The following is a 15424-nucleotide window of genomic DNA, read 5'->3' on the forward strand; positions in this document are numbered from 1 at the left end:
TCCCTGAATGGCCGCGGCGAGCACGGCAGAGCTGCGCGAGGCGACCAGAGTGAGACCCCGCCCGCCCTCTCCGCGGTCCCTAGCCAGGCGCGGCCTGGGGTTCCCTGGCCCCGCCCGGCTTGTCCCAGTTCTCTTCTGGCTTCACTTGCTGGGTGAACTTAATAGTCCCTGACTGGGCACCGAGCAGTCATATCCCGCTTTCTGCTTCTATACCCCCAAGTCGCGATGTCACCGCACGTTCTTGCCCAGTAGCGCGGGGACCGCCTGCAGGGTGGAGATTCCTCTCCCGGATGCTGGCCAGGGACTGAAGTTAAAAGGCCGCGGCAAGGGAGAGACCCCCCGCCACCCGGGCCTACGCTTTCCTTCCTGAGGGCCAGGACAGAGGGTCCTGAGCGGCTCCGGCACCCCCGCACCCCCGCGGGGAGTGCTGCTGAACGTTAAGGCGCGCGCCAGCTCAAGGACTGGCGGCGCACATTTCACCTGCCACGGCCCAAGTGTGTTTCTGGTGTTGTTTTCAGGACACACGGAGAACAAATTAATTTAGGATTATTAGATCACGCACTGCCTTTCTGGCTAGCTAAACAATTCATTCCTATGTATTAGGCTTTAAGAACAGATGCCCTAAATTGCTGGGTAAGTAGGGACTACAGAGCTGTAGCGAGACATCTCGTTTAGGTTTTAAAATGCTTCCCACTTTTATTTCCTGTTTGGGAGAAGTCTGTCGCTGTGGCAAGTTCCGTCGTCTTCCCACAGCCCTGTCTGCAGCGGTAGCCTCGTCTCCAATCCGGCATCTAAATAAGGAGTGTAGAATTAAAAACACTGAGGGACTATAGCAATTTTCTCTAATGGAATACCCTCCATTTACAGATGAGGTGAACAGAGGACGAAAGCTTTGCCAGGTAATAATGCCTGGGCTGTTCTGATCCGGATTAATGCCCGTTGCGTGGCCGCAGGTGCTAGACTTGGGAAGGCTTCCTTCCCACAGGTTCTGAAAAGTGCTAATCAGGAGGAGACTAACAAATGCCTGCGTGAATTAGGTGCCTATATATATATACATATATTTAAAGGCTCAACCATTAGAAAGCATTATAAGTCTTTCTCATACTGGCCTTTGAGCTAAATAATTCCCCTTGGGCTGTAATTTCACATCCGCACACCTGCTTTGATCCAAAACTTATTAGTTGACACAGTAAAAGTGATTAGAAGGCTCCATTAACAGGAATTAAAGATAAAATCTGTATAGACAATATTTTGGTGAAAATACATTGCTATGGCCTTCCATTTTGCAAATCAGACTTCACTGAGCTATCATTTTCTACCTGATCCACAAAATTCAAACATGATGTTAATATACTTGGCAAGTGTTAATACACTTGGCAAAACTGTGTCTCCAAAAAAATAAAAATACTTATGCAGTGGGCACAACCTTACCATTATCACCCCAGCACAGGTTTTAGTTGTGTGAGCAACTATCTATTCATCCTTCTGAAACAGATCATTTGGTGGTATTTTTGTTTTGGTCCCATGAGATGTTTAAGACCTTATATTAGTCTAGATTTGAGGACTTTCTAAGCCTAATTCTTTCAGAGTATAAGTGTCTTCTTGTTTTAATTTTGTGTTTGTAAAAATTTTTGAATATTTTTGTGCCTCAAATATGTTCAAAGTTTAATAATTCACCAAGTAATGGTATCATTGCCTATTTCTCTATCAAAAATACAAGATTTACAAAGCCTCTCTTATTTTGCTCAAACCTTTTTGTGATATCGTATGTTGGTACAGCTTATCTCAAGGGACATTTTACAAATCCTATCAAAAATTTTAAATATTTTTACCTTTTGACTAAGCAATTCCACATCTAAGAATGTTCCTACTGTAATACTTGCATGTGTGCACAAAAACATGTACAAAGAGCTTATTGAGACCTTATTTATAACTAAACATCATGCATAATATACATTCATACCATGGAATACTATGCAGCAGTTAAAATCAATGTACTGATGAGAAAGGATTTCTAAAATATAATGTGTGCAGTGGCCCACACCTGTAATCCCAGCGCTTTGGGAGGCCGAGGCAGGTGGATCACCTGAGGTCGGGAATTCGAGACCAGCCTGGCCAACATGGTGAAACCCCCCCTTTACTAAAAATACAAAAATTAGCCTGGCGTGGTGGCACACGCCTGTAATCCCAGCTACTCAGGAGGCTGAGGCAGGAGAATCACTTGAAACCGGGAGGCAGAGGTTGCAGTGAGCCAAGATCGTGCCACTGCACTCCAGCCTTGGCGACAGAGCGAGACTCTGTCTCAAAAAAAAAAAAAAGTACAAAACCATAAGGATTCTGAATGCTGCCACTCTGGCCAAAAAACTAGGTATATCTGATTACAGGCAAACAAAAATAAGCATCTGGAATAGAGCACAAAATATGATAACCATTGTGGAGAAGTAAGGGATGGAGTTAGGTATACAAGATTTAACTCTTCACTCACATTGTATTATCTTTCCATCTTATATGTACATGTTATAGTTCTAAAACTTTTTAAGGTTAAAAATCCTTTCTATCCATAAACTTTTAAAAACAAAAGGTGAGGGGAAGAAGACAAATACGAAAACTGCCATTTTAAACCACTGCTTTCCCAGTTCCCTGATCATTTCTGTCTCCCTGGGCTGCCGTGCTTTGTGTCAAGTCATCAACTTCTCTGTTTCAGCATCGAAATATCCCAGCCTCCCAGGATACCAAGACCCTTCCCAGTTCCTCAAGTTAAAATCCTGGTGGGTTTTGTTTGCTTGCTTTTTATCTTCCTTTCTTCTTCCCTGTCTATCTCTGATCAGCCTTAAATCATAGTTTGTTACCAGATTCTGTTCTTTCTCATCCTCACAGCTGATTCCTGTGCCCACTCTAAGCCCCCTCTCCGCATGCCTAGATTACAACAGTAGCCTATAAGTTGAGTATTTACAGATGATTTTCCATATGTGTAGCCCTGTCCTCATGCCTCTATTTGCACAAGGAGCAGAATAAGCTACAGTCCTGGACCACAGGCAGCTTGGTATTGGAACATAAGGGGGTGGGGGGTGTGTGGACATGTGTATTTGAATGTGTGTGTGTGTGTGTGTGTGCGCGCACGCATGTGTTGAAGAGCAGGAGTTAGAGGGTGGTAAACCTGTGGTAACAAAATAAGTCTGGTAAAGTATGGAAGGCCTCTATGCTTTTGTAGATGTTGAGCAGCTTTTGAAGGCTTTTTAGCAGGAATGGCATGAAATATCTGAACTTTAAAAAAATCATTATTCCCCTATTTTACATTGTATATGCTGTCCCTTGGTGCCTATTCCTCCGCAGTTTGGAGTATCCTAGCACCTCCTTTTTCAATAGTTTATTTTAAAATCTGGGTTAAAATGCAAAACAAGAAAACCTATCCTATTCTTATCCCCCTAAGTCCACAGACCTTCAATACTCTTGCCTTCATTGTGATATCTACTTTTCTACTTCTGGTATTACTTAATTGCTCTTCTATCACAGGGGCATGAGCTCTCTCACATCCATCTACTTCATGAAGTCCAAAAGGTCAAGATTCCCCTCTCCAAACACACACAATTCAGGCTTTGATAAAACAGAGCCTCAATCAATGTTCATTGCTTGATATTTAAAATATAAACCCCTTACCCTATAAATCATATACTACTCCATAAGCTGACTTGGTCTTTTTCCATATTGATTCCTAATACCCAACAAGAGATTAAATTCATGGCTGGGTCAAGTCCTAATGACCATGGTGCATATTAATTGGTTTGCTCTGAGATCAGACAGGCAGGGTACCACCATTCTATTGGTATATACTAAACAAGAAATAGAAACAAGGTAATATGGCCACATATTCCCTAAACTCTGCCCCCTTTTGGGAACCCCTAATAATTAAGCAGCCATAGGTATAAAATCAAGAGAGCACCTGGACTTACAGAAAATAAAAAGTACAGAAATAAAGTAAATTACAGGGTTTTCCAGTAGATTGGCACACGGACCACCTATACTGCTGGGTATCAGGAGGTTACCAGTAAAGGGATAATGAATGGTATTGTCTATCAATTATTGACTCAAGCTACTGACAGGCCAAGCTTACCAGTCATAAAGTGTTTCTATGGGAACAAAGTCAGGGGAGAGGAGTCCAGAGAGCCAGCAAGTTCAGATTTCCACTACCTGGCCAAATCCTCCTCATCTTTCAAGTTGCACTTCTGGAGCCTCCTTTATTAGTTTTGATTTCATTGATTATCTCCCTCTATTCTGAATTCTTTTAGCACTCAGTTTAACACAAATACCTAGTCTTTGTACACTGATGTTTGATGTTTTGTCTTCTCGACCATTTAAGCTTTTATTTAAGACAAAATCTAGTAAGCATTTATCTACTAAACAGTAGCACCAGAGCAACAATTTGCTATTAGGAAGATGAGAGGAACCCAGTGCTGCTCTCACGGACATTTTTCCATTAATGATGAGTGTATTAGCTGCATAACTAGTGGGCAAAGAAGTTTTCTGGCCAACTTGAGGTAAACAAAACTGGTAATATTTTGAGGCAATCTAGCAGGTCCCTCTCTGTTGACCACATCTTATTATTCTTCCCTGTAGGGTTACTAGATTTAGTAAATAAGAACACAATACACCCAGTTAAATTGGAATTTCAGATACATGATAATTTTTTAGTATATGTTCCAAATATCACATTGCACATATTCTAAAAAAAAAAAAAGTATTTATCTCAAATTCAAATTCAAGTCTACATCCTGTATTTTATCTGTCAGCCCTACCTCCACTTCTTAATGATCACAATGTGGATATAAGGTGTCTCAAGGCCCAACCCTGTTGTCATAAAAGCTAGAAGTAATAGCTTTCATTTATTGAGGGCCTATGATGTGTCGATAACAGTATTAGGAAACCTGCATAAAAGATTCATTTAACCCTTGCAGTAACCCTGTGAAATAGGTATAATTCTTTTCAGAGAAGACATGTAACAACTAAAATTCCTCTCCACCTCCGCCCATAGATTAAGTAATATGCTTAATCTATGGGCTATATACTACATGGCCATATACTAAAAAGCCAGGATTCAAACCTGGGTCTCAGTCCAGCATCCTTATTGCACTGCCCACAGGTGAGTATACAACACAGAATTTACAATTTCACTAAAAATCTGATTTAAACATCCTTTTACAAAGTAGTTTAGGAGACACCTTTTTTTTTCAAATTATCTTTAGCGCAATATAGTAAAAAAAAATAAGAGGAAAATTATATTTATGAAAGTAGCTCTTTTCAAATGATATTACAAAAATCTAAATCTTCTGCCTGCCTTCCCTACTCCCCACAGCACATACATTTCACCCAATTTCAATACATATATTTAAAAAACCTTTAAAAAATACTTTGTAGGCCGGATGCGGTGGCTCACCCCTGTAATCCCAGCACTTTGGGAGGCTAAGGCAGGTAGATCACTTGAGGTCAGGAGTTCGAGACCAGCCTGGCCAACATGGCGAAACCCTGTCTCTACTAATAATACAAAAAATTAGCCGGGCATGGTGGCGTGTGCCTGTAGTCCCAGCTACTAGGGAGGCTGAGGTAGGAGAATCGCTTGAACCCAGAAGTGAAGGTTGCAGTGAGCCTGAGATTGCACCACTGCACGCCAGCCTGGGCAACAGAGTAAAACTGTGTCTCAAAAAAAAATAAAAATAAAAATAAAAATACTTATGCAGTGGGCACAACCTTACCATTATCACCCCAGTTTAGATTTTAGTTGTGTGAGCAACTATCTATTCGTCCTTCTGAAAGAGATCATTTGGTGGTATTTTTGTTTTGGTCCCAGGAGATGTTTAAGACCTTTTATTAGTCTAGATTTGAGGACTTTCCAAGACTAATTCTTTCAGAGTGTAAGTGTCTTCTTTTTTTAAGGTAAAGTTTGTGTTTGTAAAAATTCTTGAATTTTTTGTGCCTCAAAGATGTTCAAAGTTAAAATAATTCACCAAGTAATGGTATCATTGCCTATTTCAGTATCAAAATTAAATATAAGATTTACAAAGCCTCTCTTATTTTGCTGAAACCATTATGCTCTTAGATGTGCCTGAACAGTAAATATTAAATTATGGGAACCGAATGTACCTTCTGGCTATTTACACATAAATGTAAATATGCTAAATACACAAAATACAAAGAGATATACTAAAATTTGAATTCTATATTCCTTGTCATCAAATCTTCATTATATGATTCCAGAAGCGGTGATAAAAAAATTAGTGAGGCAAATCTTACAAGAGACCAAAACAGTTGGAAAATACTGCTTTGAGTAACCTTAGATATTGACCACAGATTTGGAAACCTCTCTTTTAATCCAAAGAGATTAGCTGCAAAAGAAGCGAAAAGACAGCTTTCAGAAATGGTAAAAGTTTCACTGCTAGTGAAATGTAAGGAAATACATTTTCATTTTTAAGCCTCTTGAGAATGATCGTAAGTATTAACTACACTTATGCAGTATTGTTTGATGAGCAGAAAGGTCACAATGGCAGATATCACTGTGTACTTTAAATATTAAAGTAGCCATCACAATAGAGTAAATAAGCTGATCCAGTTTGTCCTGTAGGTTTTAGGTTACCCTAAGAAAAAAGGCTTACTTCCCACATTTCAGAGAACATACGGTATGCTAATTTAATTTGAAATAGACACACAAACTGCTGCCACTGGGGAAGGAATGAGATTGGAGGTGGGCATGAACTTAGACTTTTTACTCTGTGAACCTTTCTGTGAAGTTTGAATACTTTACAACAAGCATATATTCCAGGTATTAAGTTTGTAAAAATGTAAAGCTATGTATTTTTAATTATGTACAGAGCTTGAGAAGTCCAGTACAAGGATGAAACAAATCTGGGGGAAAAGTGAGAGAAATTAAGAGGATGGTTAACTCAGTGGTCTCAACTTTGAGGGATGGTGGGGCGGAGGGCAGGCCAACTACAGGCCTCTACTCTCTTAACTCTCATAATTAGACCAGTTTCCCATTATTCTTTACATTACAAACCCGAACTACAAAGTGGAACCGAACCCCACAGAGGAAAATAAAGCAAGTCAGTCTCAAAGGTCTGCTATTCCATGGTTAATATTCAGTGTTCAAATCCTGTATAATCACACACAAAACAGGGGTCTTAAATGGGCTAGTGCTGGGGCTGCGGGGCGGGGCAGGATTTGAGCCTGAGGAGAGTGGTAGGAAATAAGCTTACGTTGAAATGGTTAGGAGCCTACTCCAGACCAACTCTCCCCCTCCAACCCCCACAAAACAGAGAGAGGAATTGTCCTAAGTTCTTCTTGGGAGAGACTGCTTTCCAACCTCAGAGATTTCAAAGGGACAGCGGGCCTCTCCACCTTTAGAAGTCAACCGGGAATGCTCATGGGTTTGCTGCAGGCCCATTGCTGAAGCCTAGTGAAGAGAGAGACAGAGAGAGAGAGAGCAGAGAAATCCAGTAAATGAAGCCAGAAAGTTAGTTTGTGTTTTTTCATTATAGTGAGCATACTGTGATGAACCCATTGGTATTCTGAGAGGGTTTTGTTTTTGTTTACCTGACTTGATTATAAGGAGTTTTAATGGTTCTGCCCTACTTCCCCATTTCGTGTTCATAGGACATCCATCAGTCGGCTTCATGGTCACCTGGGCTGTTCTTCACATGCAAATCCCTGGGTCCTACCCCGAAATTATTCTCTCAGAATTTCAGGATTTGTCTGCTATTGAAGGAAAGCATAGCCAACTAATACAATTCTGGCTTACTTTGAAGAATATCTGAGCGCCATAGGACAAAATTCACCTATCGATCATCCTATTCTCCATCCTATCAAGAGTAGTCCATTTATTTTGTTCAACCAAAGGCATTCTTTTTCCTCCCTGCCCCCTAGCCCCTCAACGTTCCCAAATAGATGCCCCTGTTAGGCATTCCCCTAGACCTGGGCAGTCGGTGTCCTGCCTGCACCTCTCGCTCTTTAGAGGCCGTGGTTCTGGCCCTCCTCTGGTTGCCTGCCTCTTTGCTCAGAGCCAGCCCTTTCTCTTATCAGGACTTCTCTTCCCAGGGTCCATTCTTCAGAGGGAAGGGTGGGCCGCAATATGCACCCTAGGCCCGAAGGGTGGTCAAGGGGCTGCTGCTGGGGCGACAAAGAGCTCGGATATACTGGACAGTGTGTGCTGAAGGCCCCTTGAGGTGCAGGATGGAGTCTGGGCTTGGAAGAAAAGTGGAAGGAGAGTTCTCCAATTGTACTTCTGGCCCGGGGTTGTAAATGGTAGGGGAGGCCCAAGACACAGCTTCACTTTCGAAATGTTAATGAATATTCTGTTTCTGATGAATGTATTCAGTGCCTGTAGAACAAGAGAATTCAGAGAGGCGTAGGGTTCATTTGGGACTTTTTAGGCTAAGAGTGCATTAAACCAGCTCCCCAGCCCTGGGGCCATAGGACTGTCGGGCATGAATCTAAAACTACTCCATATGCTATATCTGCGGCGTTGGAGTTAGTGGGGTGTGGGACTGCAGGGTTTCAGGTGCTCACATCAGGGCTACAGAATCATCCTCCTTTCTGTTAACCGCGCACAGGGAGTCGAGTGCTCCTTTGTGCCATCACCTCTTCTCGAAGCTCCAGGCGCAGAGGGCAAACGCTGACGCCCTTTCCCGCCTTCTCTCCGTCTGCGAGTTCCGGAGGGCAGTGCACTGTGCAGCCTCCGTACTTCCCGACACGTTCCGCCTGCAAACCACTTAGGAGCTTCTGCCGGCAATTTCTCGGATGCAGCGCGGAGCCCAGCCTCCCGCACTGACTCAGGCCCGGCACCACCCCGCCTGCTGAGGGCGTCGTCGCGGGCGCCACCGACGGCGCCAGCCTGCGTTCCTAAAGGCTCCAGGACAGGTGTGGGGCTGAAATCCCGCTCCTCCAGCATCTTCCCCTCCCTACCAAAAGAAGGCTGCTTTAAATATTCCCGGCCTGGAGCAGCAGCAGCTAAGGACCTGGAAAGAGGCCCGAAAAGGCCAGGGCAGGGCGAACGAACGTGCTGTCCCTATTTACCGGCCACACGCTCTGACTGCGGGCTGACCCTGATCGCACACTTCGAGCCTGTTCACTCGCTGGGCGGACCCTCCCTCCACGCTCCGCGCCCAGGCAGGCGAGGTCACCCACTCGAAGTCACCACGTTTGAGTAGCCCTGGTTGGTGGGGCAGCGCCCCCTTGGCCAACGCCCCGCCCTCCTCTCCATCTTCCGACGCTGGGCTCTCGCCCTTCGGCGTCCGAGAGCCCCTATTGCTGCCCAGCTGGCCCCAAAAGCGTCCGAAAGTCCCCTCTTGGCTTATTTCAGAGATGCCACGCAATAAAGAAAAGGCGGCTACTTTGCATTCCGCAGCTGCTGGGACGCCCGGGCTGCGAGCGCGGCTCCTGGATTCCAGCCTCCCGCCCTTCCCAGGCGCTGGAATGGACACGGACGCCCACAGTGGCGGGCCAGGTAGTGCCGGAGTCGGGGGCCCAGGCCGCGGCGCCCCGCGCCTCATCACTTACCTTGCCTTTAGCTATCAATTCCATGATGTAGCCAAATTCACTCATCTCCCCAGACTCCGACATGTTTACACCCCTTCACAAACTCTGGAGGACCGACGCGGGTGTATCGAATTTGTCCTTTCTTTTCTCTTTTTCTGTTTTTAGTCTGAGTTTTGCCGAGCTCCCCGCCCATAAGCTGTTAACCAGGAAAAGAGGGGAAGCGCCGGGGAAAGCAAGAAGCGGGCTTGGGTGAAATGAAGGCCATCGAGGGCTCCCGGGCAGCCTCGCCCGGCTTGCTAGGATCCGGGTGCAGCGGTCGGGGCTGCGCGATCTAACGGAACAAACGAGGGCGGCGGCGGCGGCAGCAGAGGCCGTGAAACCCTCACCAGGCGGAGCCGGGCGCGCGGAGGCCCCGCCTCCTCGGGGGTCGCGGCAGCGGTTCGGACCGCAGCGGAGACAAACAAACGCGCACACAAAGCGGGTCCGCACTCGGCTCAGCGCGGCCCCAGCTAGACATTCCCCGGCCTTTATCGCATGCCGGCAGGTTGGCCGTCCCCGGCTCTCGGCGCGAAGATCTGGAAAAAAGCCCCATCTCACTGTCTGGAGGTGCGAGGGCAGACAGAAACGAATACAGAGGAGGCGCAACAAAGGGGCTGGCTGCCAGCGCCGGAAAATAAATAAATAAATACATAAGTGAAGGCCAGGAAATGGCAACGGCGCATCTCAAGTCAGCCTTCCTGAAATCCAATAGGTAATAAAGACCAAGCCCCGCGCTTCGGAGATGAGAACAAATACAGGGATTGTATTTTAAACACTCTGTGTAAGGTCTGTTGTATCTCCATATCCTTTTGATACTCAACTTTCCTTTAACAACGACAACAAAAAAAAAAAAAAAAGAAAGAAAGAAAGAAAAAAAAAGAAGAGGAAAGAAAAGAAAAAAAATATTGCCAGCCAGGTTCCTGGACACTCTGACCGTTAGTTACCACAAGTCCACTTTTCTAATTATTTGTTTCGTTGGTTGAGTTAAAGCATTCAGTGCAGGCTTCTCACATTTCTATACTTCTTTTTATAACAGCAGCTTCCCTAGGAGGCTACAGCTGAAATGGCCTCAGACCATACCTGACAATCTTTGCTTCTCTTCAAAAGAAAACTTGGCTGAACAAAATCAGTCCCAGTCTATCACTCTGCTCTAAGGAGTCTTTGCGATTAAAGGCTTGATGTTTTTTCTTTAAAAAGAAAAGAAAAAAGCTGCCAGCAATAATTAGATTAGACACGAATAAGATTTACTACAAAGTTCGTGAAACTACTTTCCTTAAGCAAGTTGGCAGAGTTTGCGTTGCGCTCAGCACCAGTGGGCAGGGTGGTGTGTCGAAATGACCTATTTTACAGGTGTAAAAGAGTTTTGCAGGCTTAATGAGACGTGGGGGTTTTTCTTTTTTGCCTCTTCCTTTTGTCATTTTCTAATTTCTCCACTTTGGTCCAGAAATCCAGAAGCATACACATTTCTTTCTTTTTTCAGCACACCTCTCCGTAAAGCTCCAACAGTGTTGCTCTGTAACTGTTGTTCTACCAGAACTTTGCTTCTTCGGTGTGTTACTTTACTTTATGAGCTGGTGCTGAAAACCTCTTAGAACAAGCAGCAAAAGTTAACATGCTGATGTTCACAATTAGGGCTCTGTAGGAGGCAAGACACAATCATAATGCTTCTTGGATATACAGCTAGAAGCTTCTTGTCCCTCTTAAGTTCTGTAGAACTTCATGTATACTCTTTGCGTCCATAGGAAAACTAGTAGAATTCAACTAAGGTCTGTAGCATCCATAAATGGGTTCTTGCCTACTATTAGCAACACTTGATGGATTACCAGAAAGAGATATTGCTCTAAAAGTGAACATTTTTTCACACCCAGAATGGATTCTGGCACCTGATTAAAAACCACAGTGTTAGAGCTGAACAGCTAATCTTATGTCTGCATTACAAGCAGGAAGGAGGAAGGTAGAGACAAGAGCACACAAGACATTTGTTTCCCCTTAAAAAGCTTCCCCCAGCCCCATCCAGTGACCTCCACTTACACCTTTGTGAGAAATGGGTAATATGCATCCCCTAGCTCCAAGGAAGGCTGGGGAGGTGATTATTTTGTTCTGGGAACATTGCCACTCTAAACAAAATCAAGGATTTGTTAGTAAGGAAGAAGAGGAGACAGATATCGGGTAGAAAGTTGTTAGTTTCTATTAACCTTGAGTAAGTCCATTCAACTTTCAGAGCTTCAGTTTTCTCTTCTATAAAATGACTGGTGTTGACTAAATGGTCTCTAACCCCTTCCTGTTCTTAACCCTAAAATCTCTGATCTGAGGATCCCTTTGCCATCTGGCCGCATTAGCTGCCATTCTCCTCCCTGAAAAGATCGCTCTTAAAAAAGGGCTGTCCACCTGATCACTTGCTACTAGAAAATACTCCAGACAAAATATCCTTATCAGTTGCCTAGATTCCTACCCAAGACCAAGAAAGTGGTGGAGGCAAGAGTTTTAGAGAACATAAGTTGGGTCCTGAGCATTTATTTACACCAATGCCTGGTGGTATTTACCACTCTTTATTGTCGTTGTGTGAAGAACACTCTGGAGCATTAAAGACCTTTCAAAGAAGATAGGCATATAAAAATGAAGACCACATTGAAATTTCTTCTGAAATTCTATGCATGCACTCACTTCAAAGACACAGGGTCAAACTGTCAATAGGTACCAAATAAAAGTTGCTTTATTATGTCCCTTTCTTCTGAAAAAAAGATTAAAATCATATAAATTTAAAACTTCACTCCCTAAAAGAACCAAAATTAAGAAAAATGTTAATTCATATTTCTCTAAAAATAAGAATGAAATTAACATGACAGATGCTGCTTCACAGGGGACTTCCCCACCTAAGAGGAAGATATTTAATAGAGGGATTATATGATGTGTGAATTTTTCACACTGAGAAGACCAGCAATATTAAAGGGTCCCTTGCTGTGGAAAATCTGCTAATTGCCAACTTTCATCAAATGGAGAAAATTCTTCAACTGCTCTATTGCTATGCCAATTATTGAAATAAGTATTACATAGAGATTTACAACATTCTATTTTCTCCTTCTGATGGCAACCAGCATAATACATAATAGCTTGAACAAATAACATCAACAAAATACACAATCCAAGTTTTCTTTTTAATGGTGACACACAAATTGTATTTTTGAAGGTTTTGAATTTAAAATCTGTGAAGAATGTTCAGCTTTTTAAGAGTTAGAGACTGAAGAAACCTAAAATATCTTACTTTTAATAAACTCTCACATTTTCTTAGTTTTTATTTCAAAAATGTAAACCTAAAATTTGACTGATACCTGTATTCAAAAAGGTCATTTTAAAAAAAAAATCTTTTTTGAATAAGCTTTATTGAGGTACAATTTATATACCATAAAATTCACTAATTGTCAGTGTACTGCTTAGTTATTTTTATTAAATTATGGATTTGTAAAACCATCTCATAATCTGGTTTTACAATATTGGAATATTCATTTATTGAGATTTTCTTTAATTTTTCCAAGCAATGTTCTATCACTTTTAATGTTCAGATATTGTACTTATTGTATTACATATTGCAAGGTACTCCTTTTAATATTATTGTGAATAAAATTGATTTCTTGGTGTCATTTCTTGGATTGTTAATTACTGTTATATAGAAACACAACTGATTTTTGCATAAGGTTGTGTTTTACAATGGGGCAAAATTCACTTATCAATTCCAGATTTTATTTTCAGATTCCTTATAATATCATCTGTAATTAAAGACAATTTTATTTCTTCCTTTCCAATCTGTATGCCTTTATTTTTCTGCCTTATTACTCTGGTTAGAACCTCCAGTAGAACCTCCATTGAATGCATGCAGCAAGTGTGGGCATCCTTGCCTTATTCCCAATCTTGGGGAAAAAGCATTCATTCTTTCACCATTAAGTACTGATTGGTTTGGCTACATTCCATGACTTTTGATTTTTTTAAAATTAAGTTAGAAATATTTTTAAAATTTCCTATTGTGATTTTTTTGACCCATGGGTTATTTACAAATGTGTTAATTTCCAAATTATTTCAAATTTCCAAATAGTTTAGATTTTCTATTTTTCTGTGTGTTGATTTCTAATCCAATTCTGTTTTGAGCAAAGATCATCCTTTGAATGATTTTAATGTTTTTAAATATATTCAGGCTTTTTAATAGTCTAATGTGGAAGTCAGCAACTTTTTCTTAAAGGGTAAGATATTAATGAACATTTTAGACTTGAAGCCATATAATTTCTGTTACTACTTGGCTTAGTACGTGTTGCTACAAAAGATTAGCCTGGGACTGGATAATTTATAAGGAAAAGAGGTTTATTTGGTTCATGGTTCTGCAGACTTTACAGGAAGCATGGTGCCAGCATATGCTTCCAGTAAGGCTTCAAGAAGATTCCACTTATGGCAGAAGGTGAAGGGAAGCTGGCATGTCACATGGCAAGAGGGAGCAAGAAAGAAAGGAGGGGGGGGGTGTCATGCTCATTTTAACAATCCGTTCTCATGAGAACTAATAGAACAAGAACTTAACTCATTACCACGAGGACAGCACCAAGATACTCATGAAGGATCCACCTCCATTACCAGAATAGCTCCCACTGGACCCCACCTCCAACATTGGGGATCAAATTTTAACAGTAAATTTGGAGGGGACATATATCCAAACTATATCACTGCTCAACTCTGCTGTTACAGGATGAAAGGGACCATTGACAATAGGTCCACAAATAGGTACACAAATGAATGTGGACATGTTTCAATAAACATTTATTTATGAAAATAGGCAGCTGAATAAGCACATGAAAAGATGCTTGACGTTATTAGTCATTAGGAAAATGCAAATCAAAACCACAATAAGATACTACCTCATACTCACTAGAATGGCTAGAATCAAAAACAGAGAGAATAACAAGTATTAATGACAAAGTGGAGAAATTGGAATGCTCTTAGAATTCTTAGAACTTAGAATTACCATATGACTCAGCAATTCCACTCCTAGTTATATACCCAAACGACTTGATAACAGGGACTCAAACAGATACTGGTACACCAGGGCTCATTGCTACATTTTTCACAATAACCAAAAGGTAGAAACAACTCAAGTATCTGTCAATAGATGGATAAACAAAATATATATACATATAATGGAATTTTTTCAGCCATAACATGTAATGAACTTTTAACATTTGCTACAATATGGATGAACATTGAAAACATTATGCTAAGTGAAATAAGCCAGAAATAAAAGGATAAATATTATATAGTTTCACTTATATGAAATATCTAGAATAGACAAACTCATAGAGACAGAAAGTAGAGGGGCTGGAGAGAGTCTGGAATGGATTGTTTAATGGATAGAGTTTACATTGGGAGTGACGAAAAAGTTTTGGGTATAGATAGTGGTAATGATTGTACAACGTTTTGAATATAATTAATGTTACTCAGTTGAACACTTAAAAATGGTTTAAAAAAAACTAGGCAGCTGCCCCCTGGCCTGTAATTTACTAACCCATAGCCTAGAATATCACCTATTTTGGATGATATTCCATGTGTGCTTAAGAAGAGTGTATATTCTCCTGGTTATTGGATGAAGTATTCTACAAATGTCAGGTAAAGTTGATTATTTCTCTCTCTCTCTCTCTCTCTCTTTTTTTTTTTTTTTTTTTTTTTTTGGTGACAGGGTCTTGCTCTATTGCCCAGGTTGAGTGTGGTGGTGCAATAACAGCTTACTGCAACCTCCACTTCCTGGGCTCAAGCCATCCTCCCACCTCAGCTTCCTGAGTAGCTGGGACTACAGGTGCATGCCACTACATCCAGCTAGTTTTTCTTTCTT

General features: G+C 41.8%; 1 protein-coding gene across 7 annotated transcripts in view, besides 1 other annotated feature; it reads right to left on the bottom strand.

Moving 5' to 3' along the window:
• The window catches only part of TRIM36 (tripartite motif containing 36), a 55523-nt gene extending 45660 nt beyond the window's left edge, over positions 1-9863 (bottom strand). For 5 of the 7 annotated variants that reach the window (NM_001300752.2, NM_018700.4, XM_017009621.3 and 2 more), the window contains exon 1: positions 9544-9863. Coding sequence is in view for 6 of the 7 variants with exons in the window: in NM_018700.4 (NP_061170.2) it covers positions 9544-9606 (63 nt within the window). In the remaining variant the exon portion in view is untranslated. Of the gene's footprint in view, positions 1-670; positions 792-7105; positions 7442-9543 lie in introns of those variants that run through there. The other 2 variants (NM_001017397.2, NM_001017398.2) reach the window with 2 other exon arrangements.
• Positions 9547-9666: an enhancer, noted in NCBI's record as "active region_22925". NCBI's record gives its function as "activates an Ori minimal core promoter by ATAC-STARR-seq in GM12878 lymphoblastoid cells {active_cell/tissue: GM12878}" and the evidence as "EXISTENCE:reporter gene assay evidence [ECO:0000049][PMID:35858748]".
• Positions 9864-15424: the final 5561 nt, after the last annotated feature.

The sequence above is a fragment of the Homo sapiens genome, chromosome 5 (genome assembly GCF_000001405.40).
Source record: "Homo sapiens chromosome 5, GRCh38.p14 Primary Assembly".
Classification (NCBI taxonomy): Eukaryota; Metazoa; Chordata; class Mammalia; order Primates; family Hominidae; genus Homo; species Homo sapiens.